General features: G+C 45.9%; 1 protein-coding gene and 1 long non-coding RNA gene across 2 annotated transcripts in view, besides 2 other annotated features; both read left to right on the forward strand.

The window, feature by feature from the left end:
- The window catches only part of ARNT2 (aryl hydrocarbon receptor nuclear translocator 2), a 193,552-nt gene that overhangs the window by 65,461 nt on the left and 101,828 nt on the right, over positions 1-26,263 (forward strand). Inside the window, exons 4-5 of the mRNA NM_014862.4 lie at positions 376-589; positions 5,168-5,381. Coding sequence (NP_055677.3) covers positions 376-589; positions 5,168-5,381 — 428 coding nt within the window. The remainder of the gene's footprint in view (positions 1-375; positions 590-5,167; positions 5,382-26,263) is intronic.
- Positions 10,043-10,962: an enhancer, noted in NCBI's record as "NANOG-H3K27ac-H3K4me1 hESC enhancer chr15:80772226-80773145 (GRCh37/hg19 assembly coordinates)". NCBI's record gives its function as "activates a minimal SCP1, AML or CMV promoter by ChIP-STARR-seq in naive H9 embryonic stem cells {active_cell/tissue: H9 hESC(naive)}" and the evidence as "EXISTENCE:reporter gene assay evidence [ECO:0000049][PMID:30033119]".
- Positions 10,103-24,265, forward strand: LOC124903537 (uncharacterized). The gene is made up of 2 exons (XR_007064731.1): positions 10,103-18,032; positions 18,724-24,265. It is a non-coding gene; the product is annotated as an uncharacterized LOC124903537 (long non-coding RNA).
- Positions 10,963-11,881: an enhancer, noted in NCBI's record as "NANOG-H3K27ac-H3K4me1 hESC enhancer chr15:80773146-80774064 (GRCh37/hg19 assembly coordinates)". NCBI's record gives its function as "activates a minimal SCP1, AML or CMV promoter by ChIP-STARR-seq in naive H9 embryonic stem cells {active_cell/tissue: H9 hESC(naive)}" and the evidence as "EXISTENCE:reporter gene assay evidence [ECO:0000049][PMID:30033119]".

The raw sequence follows: 26,263 nt of genomic DNA on the forward strand, positions 1-26,263 counted from the left end.
GGCTTTAAGTAATCTGCACACCTTGGCCTCCCAAAGTGCTGGGACTGCAGATGTGAGCCACCGTGCCCAGCCCTCGTGTCTCAATTTTTTATGCTTACAAAAATACCTCAGGCATATGGGAGTAATTAGAAGATTTTGATATGTATTTAGAGATTGAGACTATAGACATCTGTGCTTCCAACACATAGATGTAAGAGCTTGCTGAGGCATCAGAAGGGCCATTTTGCCCAATAGTCATTCAAAGCACTCAGCTGTTAGGTGTTAGCCCCTAGTTCCTGGTCATTTGGTGTTAATGGTTTTATCCCATTAGATAGTAATCCCTAATCTGATACTTCTCTTTTTTCCCCCTCTCCTGATCTCGTGCTTTCTGGAAAGAGAGAATCATAGTGAAATCGAAAGGCGCAGACGGAACAAGATGACTCAGTACATCACGGAGCTCTCCGACATGGTCCCCACATGCAGCGCACTGGCTCGGAAGCCAGACAAGCTCACCATCCTCCGCATGGCCGTCTCGCACATGAAGTCCATGAGGGGTACAGGGAACAAGTCCACCGATGGCGCGTACAAGCCTTCCTTCCTCACAGAGCAGGTACCCTGGTCATCACATCACCATTGGAAAGCGGGGGGAATCCCAGCGTCACCAAGACGAAATAAACTACGTGGGGAACCAGGGCTCAAGGTTGAGGAAGGAATGAAGCCAACATGTTTTGTTTCCATTTTTCTCCAAGAAGCTGTCTTCAAAAGAGGGTTTGTCTGATCTTTGGGTCTTCTGCTTTTATGTTTCCCATAACCTTAATGGGATGTCACTCAAAAAAATATATTGAGCATTTGAACATCGTGCTCAGCACACTGACACAGGAAGAAGTTAGTAAAAACGCTGTATGCTGGAATTGTGCTGATATGATCAGCCTATGAAAGTGATGGTATATGAAAAAATCTCCACATCACTGATCATTAGAGAAGTGCAAATCAAAACCACTATGAGATACCATCTCACTCCAGTCAGAATGGCTATTACTAAAAAGTCAAAAAGTAACAGATGCTAGTGAGGTTGCAGAGAAAAGGGAACACTTATACACTGCTGGTGGGAGTGTAAACTAGCTCAACCATTGTAGAAAGCAGTGTGGAGGTTCCTCAAAGAGCTAAAAACGGAAATACCATTTGACCCAGCAACCCCATTACTGGGTTTATACCCAAGGGAATATAAATCGTTCTACATAAAGACATATGCTTACGTATGTTCATTGCAGCACTATTCACAATAGCAAAGACATGGACTCAACATAAATGTTCATCAATGACAGATTGGATAAAGATAATGTGGTACATATACACCATAGAATACTACACAGCCATATAAAAGAATGAGATCATGTCCTTTGCAGGAACATGGATGGAGCTGGAGGCCACTATCCTTAGCAAACTAATGCAGGAACAGAAAACCAAATACCACATGTTCCCACTTGTAAGTGGGGGCTGAATGATGAGAACACATGGACACAAAGAGGGGAACAACAGACATTGGAGCCTCCTAGAGGATGGAGGTTGGGAGGAGGGAGAGGATCAGAAAAAATAACTAATGGGTACTGGGCTTAGGATCTGGGTGATGAAATAATTTGTATAACAAATTTTCGTGACATGAGTTTACTCCCTTGGCAGTACGTAACAAACCTGCATGTGTACCCCTGAAAAAAGTTAAAGAAAAAAGACAGTGATGGCAGCAGTAGTGATAATAGTAGCCGCGATCAGAGCACTTAGCCGGCCGGCATTTGCTGGGTGCCTGGTGTGAGTCATAGTTTTCTGTGAAATATCTCATTTACTACTTATTCTAGCCCTGTGAAGAAGCCACTGTTATTTAGCTCTGTTTTATTGATGAGGAAGCTGAGGCTTAGAGTCAGCAGATTGCTCAGGGTTAATCTGCTGCTTAGTGGAGGAGCCAAGATTGGGTCCAGTGAAGACAGGCTGGTAGGACCCCAAAGCCATATTTTTAACACCTACACTAGTCTTTGACTAGTTGGCAAGAAGAAACGCACAAAATGGCTAGTGAGGTCGTATTTTATAAGTGGCTTTACATGAGCCAGAGGCCTGTGTTCAGGGTCTTTGTATTTCCATGTGCTGGTCATAGGGCAAGTTGGCAAATACTCTAAGCTTCAGTGTGCTCATCTGTGAAATGAACATAAAGCTTTTTGCTTTCCTGTCTCCAAGAGCTTTTGCAGGATAAATGAGGTGATGGATTTGAAAGCACTTCATTGTGTATAGCCGGTGGGGGGGCATTGGGGTGGGGAGGTGAAATAATACAGTTGTCAGGGCATGCAGTTAGGAAATGCAAAAGTATGTAGGGTATAGGGTCCTAAAAGTAATGGAGGATTTAACAAGACACAGCGTGTGGCCAAGCTGAAATAGAGTGGAAGTGTCCTGGTATTATCAAGAGGGACTTCTCAGGACAGAGACAGTATTGGCATAGAAAGGAGCCACAAAAAATACCTAGAAAGAGGGGAGCAGAAGGGATTTCACAAAAAGGGAAGAGTGTGTACAGAACCTCACAGGCAGGAATGAAAAAGATTTTGTTGGGAGACCTAATGATTTATTCTGCTAGAGCCGAGACTCGATTTATGTCATGGAAGTTAGGTTTAAAAAGAATAAGGGATGAGGAACTAACGTTTATTACTGTCTGTTCTGTGGCAGACACTTTAGCAAGCACTTCACCTATTTGATCCCTTTCTAAATCATCCCAGTGGTCATGGGAGCCCTCGCTTGGCAGATGTTAGGAAGGTCCAGCAGTGGTAATATGTGCCACTTGGAGGACACAAACTGTGGTGGTCAGGGCAGGAGCTTCAAGCCTCATTTCCACCTCTGTAAAAATAAATGCAGTGATAGCTCCCAGCTCGTGTGGTTGTGGTGAGGAAGGCAACAAGCATAGACTGTTTAACATGGGCCTGAGGTATAATGAAGGGTAAATAGCTGGTAAGTAACAGACAGAAATTATTGAGCACTACTGGCTGCTAGAATCAGTTTTTTGTCTATATTTTTTTAATCCTCACCAAAAGACCTACAGAGTCAAGGTTTGAAATGAATCTCGTTATCTTTAAGTGACTGAGGATTATGAAAGTGGCGTGAAGAGAGAAGGCAGCTATGCAGGTCAGATGAGCCCTACCTTTGTTCCTCTCTCAGCTGCTTGGATGGTGATGATAATGGTTACATTTATGGAGCACCTACTGTGTGCCAGGCCCTTACTAAGTCCTCACACACAGCATCTCATTTAACCTTGCAAGAGCTCACTGAAAAACATTGCTGAGGGCGTGAAGTAACATGCCCAAAGTTGCACAGCTAAGTGGGAGAGCGGTAGGTGATAGTCTCCTTTTACTCCAGAATACATGCTCTTAACCGTGACTGTTTTCTTGGAGTGTAGAGGCTGGTTCTGGATCAGGGCACAGGAACTTGGTAGTGATAGATGGTCTCCCAGGGAATACACATCAGGGAGGAGGGTGGAAAAAAGAGGGTCCGTGATGCGAGCAGGGCTTCATCCCATAAGACCTCCCCACAGTCTTTGCAAACTGGACAAAAATGTGAATTCATGAGTAAAGTCATTCAGTCTCCACTTCCTCTCCTCCAGTGACAAAGAATTCTGTACTTCCCCAGGCACCCTCTTCCGTTTTTAATTCTCTTAACAGCTCTTTCTGTTGGGAAGATCATCCAAAAACTGAAAATAAAAATGCTGACCGAATTCCCTGAACTAATTAAGCATCTAGGTGACGCAGAACAGCAAAAGTGCAAAGCAAGAGAAATGGGCAAAATAAACTTATCCTTAAAAAATGCTTGTACCAACTGCTTCTGCCCTGGTTTCCCAGGCAGAGGATGTTAGAATTCCTCCCCAGCCAAGGGCTTAGACACATTTACAAAGCTCCCTGGGTTCTGCTCATCAGCATATCAATGTTCCCTAGTCTCTGGGTCCTTGTACCCTGCTCAGTTACTGGGATTTGGGGCGCCAGACTCTCCACCTTTTGCCTTCACTCTGCTGGCTGTCCATGTGCTTTACAGTGGGGTTTTCACATAAGATTACATTCAAACAAAAGATTGCCAGCCAAAAGATGTTTGCTAGCTGCTGACCTAGAAGGATACCTTTGTCCTCTGGAGCCTGAACAGTACTTGAAGTGGTTGGAAGGGTGGCCATGGATTACAGTGTCTAGGGAAGACTTAGTGCCTGGCTCCTGCAGGCACAAAGCCCATTTCATTCAGTGGCAAAGGGCTCCTTAGCTTGATGTGAGAATAGTATGGGCAACTATACTTGAGCTGCCTTCAGGCGCTGCAAAGAAAAGACATCTTGTTTTAACAAAGTTAATTTTGCCCCATCCACGTCCTTCTGAGGATAATATCAAGGCTTCCTGCTGCCCCTTCCTTGATCCCAGTTTCCTCCCTGCCTTCAATGACAGTCATGACCCCAATGAATCAATGTGAGCTGAAGGTTGATGCTCCTATCCTCTTCTCACTGTAAAGTGATATGGATAATGCTGTATTCCCTGCTGCCTCCCAGAGTTACTCTGAGAGTCTTTTGAGATGATGGTGATTATTGTCAGTTCTGGAAATCTGACAGAAATGCAAATGTAAGGGGATACTCTTATAGCCAGTGCCAGCATTCAGCTCAGAAATATGGAAAGAGAAAAGGAACAAGAGGGTACTTTCAGTACGGCAAGCTGTGGGTGGGGAGACACGTGGTCTCTTTCGTTCTCCCTTCTCACCTTCCCCTTCCCCTTCCCTTCCTTCTATCTAGCACCTTTTGTGCCAAGCACTATGTGTTGGGCCCTTCTGCTCCAATGACATGACTACAGTTTCAATATGTGGCAAAGCTGTTCACGCCTCTGGCAACCCAGTACCTTCTGGTGATCACTCATTGCTCTCCCATCCCCCTAGGCTGGAAATTTTCTCTCCCCAACAAAGGACTAATGAAGATGGGCTAACCGTGTTTACAGTAGCTGTATCGTAGGGATGGTGCAAGCTTTGTGCATTTTTCTAGCTTATTTTCCAGAAACAAAGTTCTCATTTCCCAAACTATTTGTGTACCAGAATAAATATGCAGATAAAGGAAATTGAAGGCTGCTTTCCCAATAAGAAAGTTGAATCATCCTGGGTCTGTCAGTGTATTGTGCCAATCATAATCTTTTCTTTATAGGAACTGAAGCATCTCATCCTTGAAGCAGCTGATGGATTTCTGTTTGTGGTGGCTGCTGAGACAGGGCGAGTGATTTATGTGTCTGACTCCGTCACCCCTGTTCTGAACCAGCCCCAGTCAGAGTGGTTTGGGAGCACACTGTATGAACAGGTGCATCCTGATGACGTGGAGAAGCTGAGAGAGCAACTGTGCACCTCAGAAAACTCAATGACAGGTCAGTGGAGCTCCCTTTATGAGGCTGTTTGACTCTAGAAAACATTCTTGGCTGGGCATGGTGGCTCACGCCTGTAATCCCAGTACTTTGGGAGGCTGAGGCGGGTGGATCACGAGGTCAGGAGATCAAGACCATCCTGGCTAACATGGTGAAACCCCGTCTCTACAAAAAATACAAAAACAAAAAATTTGCCAGGCGTGGTGGTGGGCGCCTGTGGTCCCAGCTACTCCGGAGGCTGAGGTGGGAGAATGGCATGAACCTGGGAGGCAGAGCTTGCAGTGAGCCAAGATTGTGCCACTACACTCCAGCCTGGGTGACAGAGTGAGACTCTGTCTCAAAAAAAAAAAAAAAAAAAAATTATTTTAGTAAACAGGCCAGGAAACTGGAGGCCATAAAAAGCTGCCTAAAGGTGAGGGAATATATGTGAGTTGGCCTGTGTGATAGCTTCATTCATTCGATAACATTTAAAAATCCATTTTTACTACATCACATTTTTCTGTATTTTACCTGCAATTAGTATACATTACCACTAGAGGTTGTCGTTGATATATTAGCCAGATCCATATGCCCTGTTTGAAGTTTATCCAATAAGCATGTGATTTTCTGTGATCCTGACCATAAACATTCATTACCCAGGCCTTAGTTACCTGAAATCTAGTTCCTTATTGAAATGTTTAAATATAGTCAATTCTACTCATACATGTTTCTAAAAATCACTGCAGTATACACAATCATGCAATTCAAAACTATAGGGCTTATCGAGAAAAAGTGGTTTAGAAGAACAACACTCAATAATTTGTCAGATAAAAGCAAAAATAAAAACCTATTATAAATGGTAGCACAGCTTTAACATTAAGTGGTTAAGAAATGTATACATCTTACCACACATATGGCAGTTGAGTTTGAAAATGACCTAAAGTTTGCTTAAGAGGTGGTCTCAGAAGGTGTGGTCATTTGTATGTTATTGCGAAATGGTAGGAGGACAGTCATGTGAAATCAGACGGAGAGTTTTAACTCCAAATGTGGATGAGTGTGGCTAATAACACACCGTGGGCCGAGAGAGCTGACTGATGTCTGAGGTATGTGAATTTTGTGTATTTCCGTGTGGCCCGGTTCAGCTAGGCACAACCTTTCTATGTTCATCTAGTTTTTCTTACAGATAAGCAAACACAACATTCACATTATGCTCAGATTGTTCCTTAATATGTCAATCACATTGGAACAAATTTGCATTGTTGAAACAAGAGTTATAGAAGCATTATACCAAAATATTTGCATTCTGCTCTATGACAGATATATTTGTGTTGTCATTCTCCCTGACCATATTGTGAGCTGTTGTATTCCCACTTGCTTTTGTGTCTGCCCACAGTGCTAAACTCAGTGCTTTGCCCATAGTAGGCCTTCAGCAGAAGCCTGATGAATTAGTGAGTGTGTTGTTTATTGTGGTCAGCCTAGGATGCCATAACAAAATACCACAGAATGGGTTACTTAAATAACAGAAATGTATTTTCTCATAGTTCTGGAGGCTGGGCATTCAGTGTCCTAATCCATTTGGGCTGCTATAACAAAATACAATAAACCGAATAGCTTTTATGTAACAGAAATTCATTTCTCACTGATATGGTTTAGATCTGTGTCCTCACCCAAATGTCATGTTCAATTGTAATTCCCAATGTTGGGGGCAGGCCCTGATGGGAGGTGATTGGATCATGGGGGTGGGTTCGCCTGAATGGTTTAGTACCATCCTCTTGGTCCTGCTCTCGTGATAGTGAGTGAGTTCTCACAAGATCTGGTTGTGTGTAGTACCTTCCCACTCTCTCTCTTAAGAGTTCCTGCTTCTGCCATGTAAGACACCTGCTTCCCTTCACCTTCCGCCATGATTGTAAGTTTCCTGAGGCCTCCTCAGAGGCCAAGCAGATATCAGCATCATGCTTTTTGTACAGCCTGCAGAATGGTGAGCCAATTAAACCTCTTTTCTTTGTGAATTACCCAGTCTCAGGTATTTGTTTATACAATGGGAGAACAGACTAATACAGTCAGAGTTCTAGAGGCTGGGAAGTCCAAGATCAAGGCACCTTGATGTCTGGCAAGGGCCTACTTTCTAGATGTTGCCTTCTAGCTGTGTCCTCACATGGTGGAAGGGACTAGCTATCTATCTGGGATCTGTTTTATAACAGTACCTAATCACCTCCTAAAGGCCCCATGTCCTAATATCATCATCTGGGAGATTAGAATTTCAGCGTACGAATTTGGGGAGAGCGTAAGCATTTAGTCCATTGCATTCAAGATCAGTATATCATCAGGTTTGTTGTCCCCTAAGGCCCTTCTCCTTGATTTGGAGATGGCCACCTTCTTGCATTCTCACAAGAATTATAACCAGCCTAAGTGTAGGTCTCTCCTCTGTGTGCACGAATCTTTTGTGTCTCTGCCTCTTCTTATGAGGACACCAGTCACTAAATTAGGGCTCACCCATATGATCTCATTTAAGCTTAACAATCTCTTTAAAAGTCCTGTCTCCCAAATACAGTCACATTCTGGGGTACTGGGGATTAAGACTTTAACATACTAATTTTAGCGGGGAACACAATTCCACCTATAATAACACTTATGATAAGAGTGAGTTTGATGTTGCTAAAAGTGAGAAGTGTACAGCTGTTTTGGAAGGATATTAGTAATTTTCTCAGTGCTGGTGATCAAAGATGTAAAAAAGGAGGAAGAGGATAGAGAATTAAGGTGTAAAGACAGTGTCTTTTTCTCCTGGCAGTAAGCTTTGATGTTCTTGTAAAACAGCGATGCTGAAATAGGCTCAGAAAGACTCTTTCTGCTACCCCATTCTCCTGCCTGAATTAGCAAACTCCATATAGAAATCCTAAGGGACACACCTTATAAAGTTAAATATTTGGGAGGAATGTAAAAGGGGAAAACCAACCAACCAGGAAATGTTGGTTTGACAGCTGAAATCACCTTCTCTGGAAAGTGCTGTCTTTCCCAGACTTCTATATGTGACCACAGGATGTGGCTTTTGGAAACCCAGTCTGGAGACCCAGCTGGGGAAGCTGCCAGGGAAGCGATGGTCAAGGCAGGTCAGGCTCTGGCCAAGGGTGTAGCCAGCTGGTTCATCATAGTTGGGTGGACATTTCTGTCCATGTGAAGTCTGAATGTGTCTGGGAGAGTTTAAACAGGCGATGTGAACCACATTTGGACAGAAATGTCCTCGGAGTGGACACTGGACTGTGGCCAAGGCAGCCAGAACCAGTACAGTGGAGGGTGTCCTCCAAGATGCCAGAGAAGGCCCTGTGAAAGGTGAAGAGCCAGGTCTCTGAGTTTGCCTATGGGCCAAGCCCGTCTTGTCAGGAACAAGATGAGGCTGGAGAAGTGGGTTCTTATTCTTAGGGTGGAAGAGAGGACAGGGTCTCTTTTGCAGTCATAGGGTGTGATGCGACTTTCCTAGAACATGCAACAAGCTCTTATTGATTCCGTGGGGGAGAGCTTGGAAGAGCTCTCTGAAACTGGGCTGCTACTCAGACAGGCCTTAGGGTTTTCCTGGTGCTCAGGACAGGACTGGAGTGGGTTTCATATGTAACCAGCCCAAGCATAATTTTAAAATTGTATTAAAAGGCCTCAGGTGTGGTTTAATGCCTTCAATTATTGGACTAGAGTCTCTCAAACCCTCCTGTCCCTTGACTCATGTGGTTTTAGGCCTGGAAAGAGGTGACATGGTCCACTTTGGGAGAGTCAGGGTGGAAGGGTGTTGAGGCGAGGCAGGGAGCCAGGCAAGGCCTGCTGGAGTGGAGGTGGCTTAACTAGGGCAGCCTGACCTCCTTTCCCAGTGGAGTTTCCCTCCTCTGAGCCTCTCTCAGTGGTGATTCAATGTCTCATTCGTTGGACCTGCAGGGTCACCTGTACTGAATGTGTGGAGGTTTGCATGTGCACAGGGGAGGGGACAAGAAACCTGACTTCACTGGGGCCTGCAGACTCCCATGTTGGCTCAGGGACCCCAGAAAATCAATATGCTGTCAAAGAGTTTCAGCATCTGGGGTGAGGGTGATGGTGGAGTTCTTTGTTGAATTAAATTTTTTCCTAGCTGGAGAGGTGGTGACAAAGAGTGGGTGAAAGGTTATATACAGTCTCCTTAGAAACATCATGGAGTGATGTGACTTGTCATGATCTGACTTGTCTGCGAATAAAACTGGAATTTATCCACATGGAGAGAGAATGGGTGAAGCCTTACCATACAACAATGACACTGCTAGTGGAAAAGTGCTGGAAAGGGAGTTGGGAGCTCCCTGCTTTTGTTCTGGTTTTCACTTTGTGATCTTGGCAAGTTCCTTTCTTCTCTAACCCTCATTCCCCTCATCTTGACCCAGGAAGTTTCTAAGGCTCCTTCCAGCTCTGATTCTACTCTTTTGTTCAAGGCCTCATCCACCAATGTATGAAATGGAGGCAGATTGGAGGAGGGGGACTGGTGAAAAACCCAAGAGGACCTATTCTGAAGGCTCAGCAGAAACAGGGTGCCTTCCTCCAGTGGTTGCCGCAAACATCCTGGGCCCGGCTCTCTTGGCTCATTTTGGTCTACCTGCCCTGCTGTTGGCTGATCCTGATGGCCAGGGAGACTCTGAGCTAAGATGTGAGGTCCACCTACCTCACCACCCAAGGCACTTGGATTCAGAAAGAGAAGATTCCCTCTTGGAGGAAATCAGGTGCTGTCTGTCACTAAAAGAAAGAAGAGACAAGTGGGCAGGCAGGCACTGGCTGGCTCAGGAGAGCTGGCCTCGGTGGTATTGGAGGAGCTCCTTATGGGGAAGGACGAGTGTTCTGCAGAATGAAAGTGCCTTTTCCTCTCACCAGGAATGCTGGGATGTTTGGGTTACAGGATTCTGAGAAGAAGATGGAGCATGGAGGTGCCAGGATCAGATGGGAGTGGTGTCAGGGAGGGGCCACAGAATTAATGATCCTGGATATCTGAGTGGCCTAAGCCCCAGCTCTCTGCAGGGAAGGAGAGGAGCTGAGGAGAGGCCCAGGGCATTCCAGGTGATAGCAGAGCCTGTGACTGTAACTGGATATGCCCAAGAGGTGGGGTTCAGAGAGCAAGCAGGGAGCAGCAGAAGCAGCTCAGCAGGGGCCGCCCAAGGGAGCATGGAGTGAGCAGATTCTTTGTGCCTTCCGGTGGCCTTTCCCAGGTTCCCTCCTGTGGCTGTTGAACTCTGGAGAACCTTGATCCTGGTGAGCAGAACTGGAGGCGCCTTGTGGGTGACCTCAAGCACTGCCCTGGGTGGGGACCGCCTGGCTGTCCTGGCTGGAAAGTGGATGTGCACAAGCATAACCCACGGACTCTTCAAGACAAGGTCGATTTGGCCTGTTTCCCCTGCATCATACTTCCATGGCTCTGTTTCTGCTGGACTCTTCCTGCATTCAGAGAATTGGGTCAGCATTTTGGTTCAGTGTAGAAAATAGCTTCAAAATAGAGCTGTCCAACAGCAGAAGAGGGTGCAAGCAAAGGCCAAATTCCTCCCTCCCTCCCTTCCTCTCCCCATCCTTCCTGCCTGCCTGCCTGCCTGCCTTCTTTGCTTCCTTTCTTCTCTCTCTCTCCCCTCCTTCCTCCTTCCCTCTTTCTTTCTTTCTCTGACCACTACTTAGTTTATTCATTTATTCATCCATTCAACAAATACCTGCCTTGCATGGCTGTAGAAAGGTTATGTGGGATGCAGCTTACCTTGCGATCAGCCTCTCCTTCCCCTATCTCCTATATGCAGGAATCCCCAGCTGTTGTTGAATGAATGGACCCCCATTTGCCAACTATTCCAGCCGGGATTCTTTGTGATAATTTGTAGAGAGCCTGAGCCAGGTTGGTCCCCAAGGGATCTGGCTGGAAAGTTCCTGTGCATGATTCACATGTCCCAATCAGCTGTGATTAAGCTTTCCTATCTCCCTGAGAGCTTCATGGAAATCCAGAGATATTTTCAGCCTTGGATCACAGGATTTGGCTAGGCTGTGGTCTGGGCACAGATAGCAGCTCACGAGAACAGCTCACCGGGGAGCCATTTTCAGCCAGCTCTGCAGCTCTGCTCATATACCTTTCATCAGGCTGCATTTCCATGAGAGTTTAAAGATGGTGCATTCACTGAAGAGTCTCCCTGCCTGGGAGAGAGGACGTCTGTGGGACACTCGGTGCATGTTGCATTTATTCTTCTCATTAAACCATCACAGCTGGGTGGGTGGCTCACACCTGTACTCCCAGCACTTTGGGAGGCTAAGGCAGGAGGACTGCTTGTGTCCAGGATTTTGAGACCAGCCGGAGTATCATAGCAAGACCTTACTTCTACAAAAAAATTTAAAAAAATTAGCTGGGTGTGGAGTCATGCACCTGTAGCTGCAGCTACTCAGGAGGCTGAAGTGGGAGGATCGCTTGAGCCCAAGAGGTCCAGGTTGCAGTGAGCCATGATTGTGCCTCTACACTCGAGCCTGGGTGACAGAGCGAGACCCTGTCTCAAATAAACAAATAAATAAATACCATAACAGTGAAATATTAATAGCTGTAATGAATTCTTTTACTTTTTTAGATATAGGGTCTCACTACATTGCCTAGGTTGTTCTCAAACTTCTGGCCTCAAGCAGTCCTTCAGCCTCATCCTCCCATGTAGCTGGGACTACAGGTGTACACCATCATGCCTGGCTCATTTTTAAATTTTTTTTGTAGAGACAAGGTCTTGCTCTGTCACCCAGGCTCGAGTGCAGTAGCACAGTCATAGCTTGCTGCAGCCTCTCTTGAGCCTAGGAGGGTCCCAAGCATTTCTCCCACCTCAGCTTCCCAAGTAGGTGAGACTACAGGTGGGTGTCACTGCACTCAGCTAATTTTTTAATTTTTTTGTAGAGATGAGGTCTTGCCATCTTGCCTAGGCTGGTCTCACACTCCTGGACTTAAACAGTCCTCCCATCTCAGCCTCCCAAAGTGCCAGGATTATAGGCATGAGCCACCGCAGTGGGCCATCTTGCATGTTTCTAGCACGTTTACCTATTTCAGTGGATATCAACCCTAGCTGCACATTAGCATCAATCACCTGGGTAGATTTGATAAATACACTTGCCCAGGATTGGGGAAGGGAGCTGGGCACTGGCGTTTTGTTAAACCTTCCCAGGTGATTTTGATGCACAGGAAGGGTTGAGAACCATTTGTTGTCTGGGGCTCATCAAGGTCCTATGCATGGGGATTATCGGCCCCATTTCACAGGTCAGGAGCATGAGGCTTGAAGTTACTGAGAAGTTCTCAGGGCCACACACCTGAGGCCAAACAGCTGCTACAAAGTAGAGCTCGTAGTCAATGCCAAAGAAGCTTATTGCCTTTGGGGCATCTAGAGACAAAAAAGCCTTGGCGTGACCCAATATCCCTGGGGCACCAGGAGCCAGAACAGCGTTTAGTGGGGTTTGGGCATATGAGTGGTGAATGGCATCAAAGCTCTGAGACTGAGGCTCGGATGCAGGGGTCTCTAGGATCCTGTGTAGTCTAGTGGAGCACTTCTCAAAGTGTAGTCCTTAGGCCAGATGCATGAGCATCACTTGTGAACTTGTTAGAAATGCAGATTCTTCCCCACTGAATCAGAAGCTCTGGAGGCCCAGAGATCTGTATTTTCACCTACCTTTCAAGTCATCGTGATGCATGTTAAAGTTTGAGAACAACTGACTTGGTGAAACCATCCTGGGACTTCATATCAAGTTATCTGGATTGAGTCCACTGTTATTCTTGGCTTTGCCAAGCTCTTTGATCTCTGAGTTTAGCTTTACTCCTCAGAAAGTTGGGGAATCTATGACTTTGTGAAATGTCTTATTATAGAACTCCATGCACATGTTTATTTGAGTTTACTTGGAAGGTAAACCCTGGTAAAATCTGTTAAGTGTGTTTCATGGGTACACTGCACTTGCATCCATGAAGTGCAGGGAGCTTCTTAGAGATGCAGAATTGCAGCTCCCATCCCAGGCCTACTGAATCAGGATGTACATTTTAATAGGATTCCCGAGGAACTTATATACTTCGATGCACATTTTAGTTTGAGAACTGCTGAACTAAAGAATTTAGCAAATAGTGATTGTGCTGGGGGCTGCTTGCAGCAACCTGGGTCGAGGGCATCCTTTGGCATCTGGGACTGGCATGAAGTGATGGGATCTGCCTGAGTGACTCAACTGCCCTACTTGTGTTTGTACAGCTCTCAGGCGACCAGGCCTTGGTGGGGAGCAGCTAGAAGTGTAGCTCTGGGGGTTTGCTGTCCCCTCTATGCTTGCTATCTAGGGCAGAGGCTGACTAGGCAGGGGAAATGTGTATGGCAGCAGAGCAGCCTGTGTAGCAGCCTTAGGAACCTCACCGCACAAGCCCATACATCCTCTGCTCTCCACCAGGGTCCGCACCAAGTTTGCAGGTTCAGCAGGCGGCATCCTCCACTGTGGAACAGGAGAGCGAGGAGCTGGTAGCATGCTCATCCTGTCACCCTGGAAGGACCCAGACTAGAGCAGGAAGAAAGCCAGTTATACATGATGCTGCAAGAGTCAGCGTGCACCTCCTGGAACGTGTGTGCCTGGGAAAATAGCTGCCAGTTGTCAACATGCAGCCTCAGCCTACCCAAGGCAGCTGGGCCTTCTTCCTGACACTTTGCAAAAGAGGGCAAGGACAGACTGTTGAGTTCAGCCATGTGGTTGAGTCCTTCAGTGGAAGAATGTCAGGCAGATAATTGATCCCACAGGGGTCCTGTGAATTATGCAGTCCACCCCTGGGGTATCAGTTCTGGAAAAAGATGGTCCATTTCCAAGTGTCAGTCATGAAGGTAACTTCATAAAAACTGTACTTTCAAATATATAGCTTATTTTCTTTGGAATGCCCAAACTTAGTCTTTGGACTAATGCCAGAATCTTAATCCTGAACACATTCAGCAGTCCATTTCTTGCTATATTAGGTAACATATATAAATGTGGCAAAAAAAAAAAAACAACTTGATTTGATCTCGACTCAACTATTAACACTGTTATTGAGTTTCTGTTGTTCAAAATAGAAATAAAGCATTTTTATGGCAAGAAAAGCATGTTTATTTGACTTAGGCCCCTTGAAAATTGCCCAGTTGTGTAAGTAAACACTTAAAAACAAAGCATTTGGGGGTAAGTTGCCAGAGGTGCTTGATAAATGCACGTGAGAATGAAATCTGAGAATTGCTGGCTGGTTGTTTTTTGTATCTTCACAGTGACTTTCCCACTAGAAACCTCAGCCTCCTTAGATCTGTTATCCCAGATGTTTCTTTGGAGCCAGTTCAGTTCTTTCTCGTTGTTAAATATTTATACAACCTGCCTGTTTTGCTTCGCTACATGCATAGCATGGCTGATGCTGCTGAACTGTTTGTGTTTTTTTCTCATATTTTATGTTGAAAGATATTCCATGAATCTGGACAGATTTCCAGCCCAGGCTGTTGGGTTCATTATCACTCTTGTGTCACAGCAGATAAAGGAGTCAGAGTGGTGCTTTTGCACACGTTGCTGACTCTGGCTGGAAGGCTGGCCTCCCTGCACACAGTGAGCTCCACCAGCCGTGTGTGCTGAGGAGTGGTGGTGGGGATGGGGGGCGGTGCATAGGGGTGTAGGGAGGCAGCGGGGGAGTGGAAGAATCCCTGTACTTGGAGTCAGATGAACCTGGTGACAGTTACAGTCCATGGCCTTTACCTTGGGTGAATGACTTAACCTCCCTGAGCCTCAGTTTTCTCGCTTGTAAATGCAAACAATAACGCATCTCCTACAAAACTGCTTTGAAGCAGGCATTCAATGACATATGGGATAGTATTAATGATAGTGTTTGGGAATTGTAGAGAGTTCATTCATTTGTTTTAATAACTGCAAATTCCATTTAAACACTACTATAGATCAGTGGTTTCCCAAACTTTCCATCTTGCCCTGCTTTATTTGTCTTCTTAGCTCTCTAAAATGTGTCTTAGGATTTTGGTACTGTTGACAAGGGAAGATGGGTAGGCCCTGATCTTTGTTAGTTTTGCCCCTTTACAAAAGTGTGACATGTGCTTGAGAATCCCCATTGCAGGCTCAGGTAGAGGAGAGGGAAGAAAAGAGGCACTTACTTTTTTCTTTCTCTTTGTTCTATTCATTCATCCATTCATCCAGCATGTATTTAGTGAGTACTAACTAACTTGGTGCAAGACACTGTACTAAGTGCTGGGGATCTAGTGATGAATAAAACCCATGTGGCCTGGCTCTTGTGGAGTTTACAGTTCAGTGGGGAAAAGAGACACCAAAGAGATAATCACATCTAACACACTGTGGTAGGTGTTGTGGAGGAAAAGGCCAGGAGGGCAACAAGAACAAACAATACAGAATGGGACATGTCTGGGCAGGTTGGAGAATGCCCCTGTGAGTGACTGATGCCTGGTGAGATCTAATAAGGAAGCAGAAGGCAGCCAGGTGAGGAGATGGTGAAGCGTGGGGAGAGGGGATGCTGACTCCAAGACCAATTGCAGGCCACTGAGGATTTTAACCAGTAGAGGCCCATGAACCATGTTAGATGTGAGATGCTCACTCTGGTGACAGAGTGGAGAACATGTCATAGGACAACCAGACAGGTTTGGGGTATTCAAGGTTAGGAGGATGCTAGAGTTATCTATGCGAGGGCTGATGCAGGCTTGGGTTGGGGAGGAGTATAGTTTCCTCTGGCTGCCGTAGTACATTACTACAAACTGGGCAGCTTAAAACAATGGGAATGTGTTATCTTGCCGTTCTGGAGGTCAGAAGTCCAAAATCAAGGTGTCAGCAGCCAGGTCAGTTATTTCTGGAGGCTGTGAGGAAGAACCTGTTCCATGGCTGTCTCCTAGCTCTGGTGGTAGCTGACAGTCCTTGCCATTCCTTGTAGACACATCGGTCCAATCTCTGTCTCCATCATAAGGTGGCATTTTCCCTTTGTGTCTCTGGGTCCAAATTTCCCTCTTCTAAGAATACCAGTCTGTTGGATTAGGGCCCACCTTAATCTGGTATGACCTCATTTTAACTTGATTCTATCTACAAAGACTTTCTTTCCAAATAAGGTCACATATGCAAGTTCTGAGTGGACATGAATTTTGGGCAGGGGGTGGTTGGAGACACTGTAAAACCCAGTATAGATTGTAACAGTGGAGATGGAGGGAAGTGGTTAACTTCACCAGATATGTAGGCAGTGAAACCAACAAGGGGAGTTGATCCACTCACTCTAGTCCTTTACCCAAATAGTGTTTTAAAAAAGCTGATATCCAGGGTCATTGGTGGCCTCGTTGGTGCCTCTTCTCATTGTCAGATCTCTTCTACTAGAAGCAAGTTTAACTGCGGGGAGGACAGGAGGCACCTCCTCAGCATCCCTGACTTGTCGTGTTGAGTCAAGCCACAAAATCCACTGCTTCCTTTGATGTTTATGCATTCACTGATGGATCCCTTTGGACCCACAAGCCTATTTTTGTAGATCAACTTGGGTGCAATGCAGAATGTGCTCATTGTGCCCTGCTGGGGGATAGGAATACTCACTGGTGTTAATTTTTTATAATTGCTAATCACCTATGCAGTGAGTCAGCAGAGGTACAGCCCTAGGAATGGTCTTCTAGGCTGTGGGTGGTGTGGGATTTGATTTGCCCCACCATGTAGGCATGGAGCCCATTCAGATGTGAACGTGGTTACAGGTTGAGCCTTGCTGTATCGATTCCTCTGCTTCACTTTCCTGCTCTATTCCTCTTCATTTCCTTCCAGATGGGGCTACTGATGCTCACCACTCATCCATCTGGAGTAGGCTGAAGCTACCCTAGGTGGGACAGAGCAGCACTTCCCCCTCTTCCTCTCCACACCTCCCTGATATGGCAGGGCTTGGAATTCAGTCGCCGTGCAGACCCAGGCAGGCAGTTGAATTCCTCCAGGCTGCCCCTTGCTGTACTTCTCCCTGCTTCTCATACCACCCAGCCCTGAGCCCGGGCTTCCATCTCTCTTCGCCTGCCTTTGTCCTGACCTGATTCATCCTCTCATGCCTGAGTCCTGCCCACCTCCCCGTGCCTTGGGTCAGACCTGCCCCTTCATGTTGTCCATGCGCACAGCAGCAGAGCTGGGCACAATCCAGAGCCGAGGTCAGGGCTGTTTTTGCTGAGAGCAGTGGCAGGTCGCCACACTGAGGGTGGGTTCAGATGGGGCGCGTGGAGGGGTCAAGTCCAGGAACTGATGCAGGAGAGGGTGCAGGGAGATGGGCCAGAATGTCTGAGTGGGGAACAAGCCATGCACATCCAGGAGTTGAGAAGTTTGGCCCCCAGCTCAGGACATAGTCTGTGACTGACACCTGGCCCGCTCAGGCCTGGCTCTGACAGCCTGCAAGGTACGGGCTCAGTTTCCAGATGTTGGACTTAGATAGCTGGTACTTGACCATTGTGCCTACATTTCCAGAAGCTTCCTTTATAATCGGACCCTGAAACCAGACCAGGGCACCTGCCCCTCACCAGTCTCCTTCGTCTTCTGGACCTTGTCTTCTAGGTATGCAGACCTCCCATGCTTTGTTCATGGCAACAACTTCTTAGGGAAGGGATCTAAAACAGAAGCCAACCTGGGCATTGCAAGACCGGAAGAGGAGGCTTGCCCAGTAATGTCACTGAATGACTGGATTTTCCATGCATGGTAAATATTTCTTTGTAAGAGAAATAACGGAGAGGACACAGCCTCCCCAGCACAGGGCTTACAGGGAATCAGGGAGGCTGCCAGGGATACAAGTAGAACAGCCCTCACTGTGAACCTTATGTGCATTTTATGTACACATCCAACTAGGTTCTCCCTTTTGGCATTAGAGAACAAGCCGCTTCCCTCTAAACAAGATTCTGTAGTAGAGGGAGCTCTCCAGCCTCTGCCTGAGCTGGGCTGTTGGGAATCAGGAAGTTGGGTTTGAGAAGCAGGGAGAGGTGGTCTGCAGGATCCAGGCCTTTCCCAACTCCCAATAACAGTGCATCTCTGTCCTGGATAAAGAGGGAGTAGGCGGTGAAAGTTCTCTTCAGTGGTTCAACATACATATTTTCTATCCCACCAAAAATGTATGTGAATCGACTTGAGAATGCTAAATCTTGCTTTAAATTCATGCAGAGATTTAACCATGTAACACTGGTGTGCTTCTTTGTAATGCTAAAAGTCACCTCCTAAAGTTCCTACATTCTCATTTTCGTATTATGGCTTTTCTTGAAACAAGGCATACCCAAGTGACGCCTGAAGAACATTTATTACAGCTTTGTACATAAGTTTTTAAAATTCCCAGCTCTTAAAACAGTGGTTCTCAATCTCATTGTGCATCAGAATTCTGTTGATTCTTTTAAAAATTCAGATGCCAGGACTCCACTCCATTTCTGTGAACTCGACTGTACCATAGTGAAGTTCAGACATCTGTCTTTCAAAAGCTACCCTGATGATTCCAGTGTGGACCAACTACTGCTCCCCAATGCGACCCCTGCCAACAAACCCCACGCATAAATAAAATAAAATAAAATAATACAACCTAATTTGTCCTTTATCTAGGAGATAAATTTCAGGAAGATAGTTTCTTAATTTACTACCACCGAAAACCAAAATGTTAAAAATGTAGTCATCAACACAACTGAAAAATGTGCAGCACTTAGCATTCTAAGTCCTCTTTGAAAGAGTCTTGATTTCCTAATGAAGTATCTTTTATCCTAACTTTGATGTTCAGGAAGCCAATCGACAAATACTTTTTTCTTCCTTCTATAACAGGAAACTACAACAGAAATAACCTAGAAGTAGTATTTTTTTAGGCAGATATAATTACTTTGAGTTACTTTGGGATGTTTGAAAAGACGAATTGAATCATTGCTTCTTGCTGGTATGATTTAGATTTCAGTAATCATCTCACGTGATAGTCATATTTTGTAATACTTTGGTTAAAAATAGCTTTGTTGCAAAAACTCCAGTGTGATAAAGAAAATAAAATAGTTTCCTTTAGCTTCACCAAAGACAGACACATTTCCCTCTGAAATGTCATGACTCATGCCACATGGCTAAATAAAAGTGCACGTATAGCACTGATCTTTCCTGTTTATTGCTTTTTTAGTAGAAGCTAATTGAGGAAAACATCTGCATCCAGTTTTCCCTTTATTTTTGTAGATTCTTTTCTTCTACTCCAACGCAAAGCCTCCCTGGACAGTCATTTGCTCAGGCAGTGATCTGATAGATGGCTTTCAGTTTTCTCCTTTTGGGTGATGACATAAATTACTCTGCAATGAGCTATTTACAATGCCACTCTTTAACCTTGAGCTGAGCGCACACGTTCTAAGGACCTGAACTCACAAGAGCTCGGCATCATGAGGGTCACACAGGCTGACTCTTCTCTCAGTTCTACAGCTCTCTCCATAATAGGCCTGTGAAGTGGCCACTGGCTTCTTTTTGAACACCTGCAGTGGCAGAGCTGGCCACCTCAGAAGATAGCCCTTTCTACACTGGAACAGTGCACTTGTACTCAGTTTGAAGTTATCCCCAGTAACCCTTGCCATCGTCTTAGCACAGCCCACATTGCTTGCTAGGGCTGGGAATTGGCAGATGGGTGGACTCACCGACAGCCATGGTGGGGGGTTAAGAGCATGGACTTTCTGCCTGGGTTTGAGTCTTCGTTTCCCCGCTGACCAGTTGGGTGATCTTGGACAGGGTACAGGGATCCTCCCTGAGCCTCCAGTTCCTCATCAGTGTTGGTGTGAGGATGGTGCCCAAGACAGTGCCTGGCGTGGTCTGGGTACTCAGTAAATGCTTGTCATCTTTTTTTTTCCCCCAACCGTAGGCAGCTTTGTCTTGGGAGGTATTCTCAGTCCCTACCTAGTCAGGGATTCGTGCACACACTTTTGTAAGCACTCCCAGGAGAAAGTGGTGAGAGAGAGAAGCTGGATAGGTCAGGACAGGTCAGAAGAGAAGCCAGGCAAAGATGTGATTCTGGGGAGTCTAGCTTCAACCTGATCTGCAGGGACAAAGCCTGGGAGAGTAAGTTGCACAGAGTCAGTCCCTCTTTGAGGCAAGGGTGTGGGGTTTTGCAGTCCCTCTTTGAGGCAAATAAGTCACTGGTCGCAGGCCTTGAGGGGTGGGTGTAACTCCTAGATAACTTCAGTCCAGGCGGCTTCAAGGAGAAGGCTCTGGAGAAGATGCAGGTGTGAGCCATCAGCTGAAGAACCTGCAGCAGCTAGGAGAGGACCCAGCAGTCAAATTGGTGCGTGAGATCCAGGGTATCTGGGCGGGACATCCGCAGTGTCTACTGAAGCCCACGGAAGAAAGCCTGTTGGTGGAGCTGGCTGCAGGCTGGCCACCAGAGCAGCTGAGGTTTACCCAAAATAACCTGACAATGCAAAGAGCCCCTCCATGTGGATGCAGACCCCGCCCCACAGTCCCGTCTCCCCTCGGGGCTGCCCACAGCCTGGCCCAAGACTGAGGCCAGCAACTAGGGCTTGGCCACCAGGTCTTCACAGATGAAGGGGAAACCTCTTTATGGGAGGCAAATTGCATATCTTAGTTTAAGTCAACAGATAGTTATCAGCACAAGTCACTGCACTAGAAACGGAAGATGCAGCAATGCATGAAACTGTGGTCACCATGCATCATGGAGCTTTACCCCAGGAAATGGACAAACAGGCAGTTATATAATGAATATAGAGTCAAATTGGTGGCATGTTCTAAAGAAAAAGAACAGGAGGCTATGGGACAGGGGCAGGGGACCCTAATTTACACGTTAGAGGTGGTGGGGAGAGTGGAGCAGGGAAAGGCCTCTGAGGAAATGACTATAAAGCTGAAAATGGAAGGACATGAATGGGAATTAGCAATTTGTGAGGTGGTAGGGGGAGTGAGGTCAAGAACTTTCCCAGCCATGGGAATAGCATAGCATGTGAAAAGGCTCTGGGGCAGGGAAGGTATTGGTGGCTCTGGGGAAGTGAGGAAGGCCATTGTATTAGTTAGTTTTCACGCTGCTGATAAAGACATACCTGAGACTGGGAAGAAAAAGAGGTTTCATGGCCTTACAGTTCCACATGGCTGGGGAGGCCTCACAATCATGGCAGAAGGCAAGGAGGAACAAGTCACGACTTACATGGATGGTGGCAGGCAAAAAGGGAAGTGCTTGTGTGGGGAACCCCTTTTTATTACCATCAGATCTTGTGAGACTTATTCACTATCACGAGAACAGCACGTGAAAGACCTGCTCCCATGATTCAATTACCTCCCACCGGATCCCTTCAACGACATGTGGGAATTCAAGATGAGATTTGAGTGGGGACACAGCCAAGCCATATCCCTTGCAGTGAGATGAGGGGGAAACGTCAGGCCAGGGACAGCCACAGAGAACCATTATGCACTTGGAATTTACTGTTAGTGCAAGAAGCAGTCCCTGAAAGCATGTTAACATGATCCAATTTGCATTTTTATATAGAAAGACTGTTCTGGTTGCTGGAAGGGAAATGGATATTTTGGGGAGTGAGGTTGGGAGGATCCAAGAAGAGAAGAAATTAATATTTACATACTGTGTAAAGTGACTTCACAAATACATCTCATTTACTTCTCAGGACAGGCCTTTTTTTTTTTTTTTTTTTTTTTTTAAGTATAGGCATATTCAGTTGTTCCAGCACCTTTGGTTTTTTGGTGATTTTTTGCTTTGTTTTGCTTTTTAATCTCTTGGCTGAATCACAGTACCTTCACTGAAAAGACAATTCTTTCTCTACTGAATTGCCTTTGCACACCAATTATATCTACACAGGTGTACGTCTATTTCTGGACTCTGTGCTATTCTGTTTATGCAGAGTGTCCTTCTTTCTTTCTTTCTTTCTTTTTTTTTCTAGACAGGGTCTTCTTTGGTTGCCCAGGCTGGAGTGCAGTGGCACCATCACAGCTCACAGCGGCCTTGCCCTTCCAGGCTGAAGTGATCTTCCCACCTTAGCCTCCTGAGTAATTGGGACTACAGCCATGCGCCACCACGTCTGGCTAATTTTTTTATTCTTTGTAGAGAAAAGGTCTGGTGTTGCCCAGGCTGATTTCAAACTCCTAGGCTCAAGCCATCCTCCTGCCTCAGCCTCCCAAAATGCTGGGATTATGGGCATGAGCCACCATGCCTGGCTCAGTGTCTTGATTACTACAGCTTTATCATCTTCAAATCAGATAATGTTAGTCCTCCAACTTTGTTCCTCTTTTCCAGTCTCTCGGGGTCCTTCACTACCTGATGTCCAATGTGTAAGAACTATTCTATAGATTTTACTGGGTGCTTGATGGTTTCAGAAGGGAAGGTCAGTCTGGCTCCTGTTACTTGGTTGGAAGCAGAGGTCCTTATGATAATTTCTTTGAATGCCTCTTCTCTGTCTCCTCTGTCAGCTCAGTTCTCAAATTCCTGTGATGGATTGCCTGACTCTCTTATCTAGGAATCTTAGCCTTTTGCATATTATATTTACCTCCTTTCCCTTTTGTTTTGTGTGTGTGTTTGTGAGTGTGTATGTGTGTGTGTGTGACCTCGGAGAATTTCCAAAGGTTTCTTTTAATTCATTGATTCAGTTTTTAGCAGTATCACTATTTATTGCCTCCATTTGGGTATTCATTTCTGAAATCATGTTTTTCATCTAAAAGCAATCTTTCTTGGTCCGAGGTTATTTTCTTTTTATTATGAAAGATTTTCTCAAATATTGCTGAGACTTAATGTTTCAACATATTGTGTTCTTTCTGTTTCTTGGTGTCTTAATCTGTTTACTGCTGCTATAACAGAATACCACAGACTGATTAATTTATAATGAACAGAAACTTATTTGGCTTACAGTTCTGGAAACTGGGAAGTCCAAGACCATGGTTCTGACATCTGGCAGGGGCCCTCGTGCTGTGTCATCCCATGGTGGAAGGCAAAAGACTGAGAGAGCAAAAGCAAGAGAGAACGAGACAGAGAGCGGAAAGCAAGAAGGGCCAAGCTTGCTTTTATAACAAACCCATCCCTACAATCATGACATTAAACTATTCATGAGGGCTCTGCCCTCCTGAGGCCTTATGACTTGATCACCTCTTAAAGGTCTTACCTCACAACACTCTTGCATTGGGGATTAAGTTTCCAATACATGAGCTTTGGAGGACACATTCAAACCACAGCAAGTGGCGGGGGGTGGGGGTGGGGGATTTGTTCTGATTTTTCCTGAATTGTGTACAGCTATCTGGGAGCTGCAGCCGAGGCAGCCCTGTACCTTGGTCACCATTACCTGAAGTTAGTAGGGCCATGCCCACTCCTTTACATGAAATGCTGCCTCTCAGAAGCAGGCTGTGGCAGCTTTTCTTCCTCTTTATGTGGCAGGTTGTTTGCTTTAAGTCAGGGTGATATGAGGGGGCTCTGCCTCTGGCCTCACTGTGATTATACCCTAGGTCACTTGTCTTCTGCTTCCTGATTTCCTGTTCTCTCTCTCCTGCTTGGAGTTTGGAAACTTCTAGTAGGGAACTCTTTCACTTTCTTCCCAGGCAGTTTGTTTCCTCATATTGGTTGAACCATGATGATATAGTTGGAATGGTTGTCCCCTCCAAATCTCATGTTGAAATTTGATCCCTAATGTTGGAGATGGGGCCTGGTGGGAGATATTCGGATCATGAGGGCAGATCCCTCACTAATGGCCTGGTGCCCTCCCTGTGGAAATGAGTAAGTTCTCACTCTTTTGGTTCACCTGAGAGCTGTTTGTTTAAAAGAGCATGGCACCCCTCCTTCTCTCTCTGTCTTGCTCCTTTTCTTGCCATGTGACACTCCTGCTCCCTCTTTGCTTCTGCCATGATGCTTCCTGGAGTCCTCACCAGAAGCAGATGCTGGCACCATGCTTCTTATACAGCTTGCAGAACCATGAACCCAATAAACTTCTTTTCTTTGCAAATTACTCAGCCTCGGGTGTTCCTTTATAGCAACACAAAATGAACTAAGACACATGAGCTGCTCATACTCATTTCCAGACCATCCCAGGTGTGCTGTGCTGTTTTTTGCAGAAATATTTCAATATCTCTCTATTTTAAGGCCCCTTTTACTGTTTTTCTTCATGAATGCAGATTTTTCCTGCTATTTTTGTATTTTTAAAATCATTTCATTAGCAAACTGCGAAGGAGGGAAGGCACGACTTGAAATTGCCTTCTTGAACTCCATGTCAGCCTGGTCTCCTGGCATATACTGGGCTGCCTTTCCACAGCCAAGGAGGGTTAATCATTTACCGTTAAAATTAAACCCCTCAGGCTTGCATTTCTGGCATTTTTGTAGCATGATACCCCAAGAGGAATGTATTTCTTTAAATCACACTTCAGCATATTCTAAACAGGATGAAGAATTTGTACTTTTGTCTACAGATTAAATAGCAGAAGAGGTGCCGGCCATGGGAGGACTGTGGGGTGATGATTTTATAATGAATAGCAGAGCAGCAGGCCACAGCAGGCGGTGGCCCATGATCCCACATCATGTTGAGAATGTGAATGCAGAAAAAGCTGTGAAGTTCTCAGGCTTTTCAGAGAGCCACGAGAGCCCAGTTGTCGAGGTGGGAGAGGTGGTATGGCCTGCCATTCATGTTGGAGTTCTCTGCCCGTTGGTATGGACTGACCCCAAATGTGCCAGTCTTGGTCTTTTCATTGCTCATGAGATGATGATCTCTTGGATATTCTCTGCAGAGTTTTGCTGCCCTCCTTGTGCCATCCTGCTGCCTGCTCCTTGCCTAGTTAGTCTCATTAGCACCTTCCCCAGATGGTACAGTAGAGGGACAAAGGGATTGACATGCAAACAGACTGCTTGGCGGAAAGGCTCTTCTGAGTGTCTGCAGGGCCTATTAGTCGCAATGCTAAGTCCCTTTTGCCAGACCTAATCAGGCACCCCCACCCCTGTAAGCCTTTTTTTTGTCTCCTTATTCCATGGCCACTGATTCTAATCTGAGTTCTAACCCAAACCCCAGCCGCCATCTTCCTTGCTCAGGAACGCAAGAGGGCCCAGAGGGGGATGGTTCCCAAAAGCCTATTCTTACTATCTGAAAACAGTTTCCCTCTGTGGGTCAGCAGGAGCCCATTCTGCTCAGTGAACATTATTGTTGCTGCCAACTCTTCATTCTTCCCAGTACACTCTTTGTGTACACAGGAGCTCTCCCGACATGGCTGGACACTCAGGTTCCAAGTTGAGGTGTCTCTCTTTTCCTGAATGTTGGATATGAATGCTAATCTTACAGGTTTTTTGCTCCTAAAATCTAAATTATTGATATTCGTATATTTAAACTGCAAATCATATGAATTTTCCTAGGCAGTTCCGGGAGGTAGAAGTTTTGCTTTTAGAAGGGAATGTGGCCTTTGCAAAGCATGCTCAATATTCATTGCCAACAGCATGAAGGGCTGGAGGGTTTGTCAGAAGCATGTTTCTCAAGTCTCTGGCTTTTCTGCCTGTGTGACAGATAGCAGAATCATTTTGAGAGCTTGACTCCTCTGTTTGCTTTTGCTCATGCCTTCCTAGGGCTCTGTGCCCTGGGGTTGGGCCCCAGCCCACCTCTCCAGCCCCTCTCCCTGTGGAGCTCCAGCCAAACAGGACTTTGTACTATTCTCAGACCCCTCCTTCCACTTTCCCCACACCTTGCTCTGAGCCCTTTACTTGGGGCATCCTATCCCTTGCAGCTCCATCTCTCTGAGGCTCCTTTAGCACCTCCTCTGGGAGGAAGCTTTCCCTGACCCAGTCTGCTCTCTCCAACATGAAGCACTCTCTCTGTCTGCTCTGTGCTGCCTTTGCATTTTGTGCAGACATCTCCTCGAGTACCAGCTGAGTTGGTTTCATCGTTAAGTAGGAATGGTGTCTTGCTTCCCCTACTCTGTGAGCCACTTTGCTTAGTACTGCAGCTTGCACTTTGTAATTTCTGTTGGAT

The sequence above is a fragment of the Homo sapiens genome, chromosome 15, assembly GCF_000001405.40.
Source record: "Homo sapiens chromosome 15, GRCh38.p14 Primary Assembly".
Taxonomy (NCBI): Eukaryota; Metazoa; Chordata; class Mammalia; order Primates; family Hominidae; genus Homo; species Homo sapiens.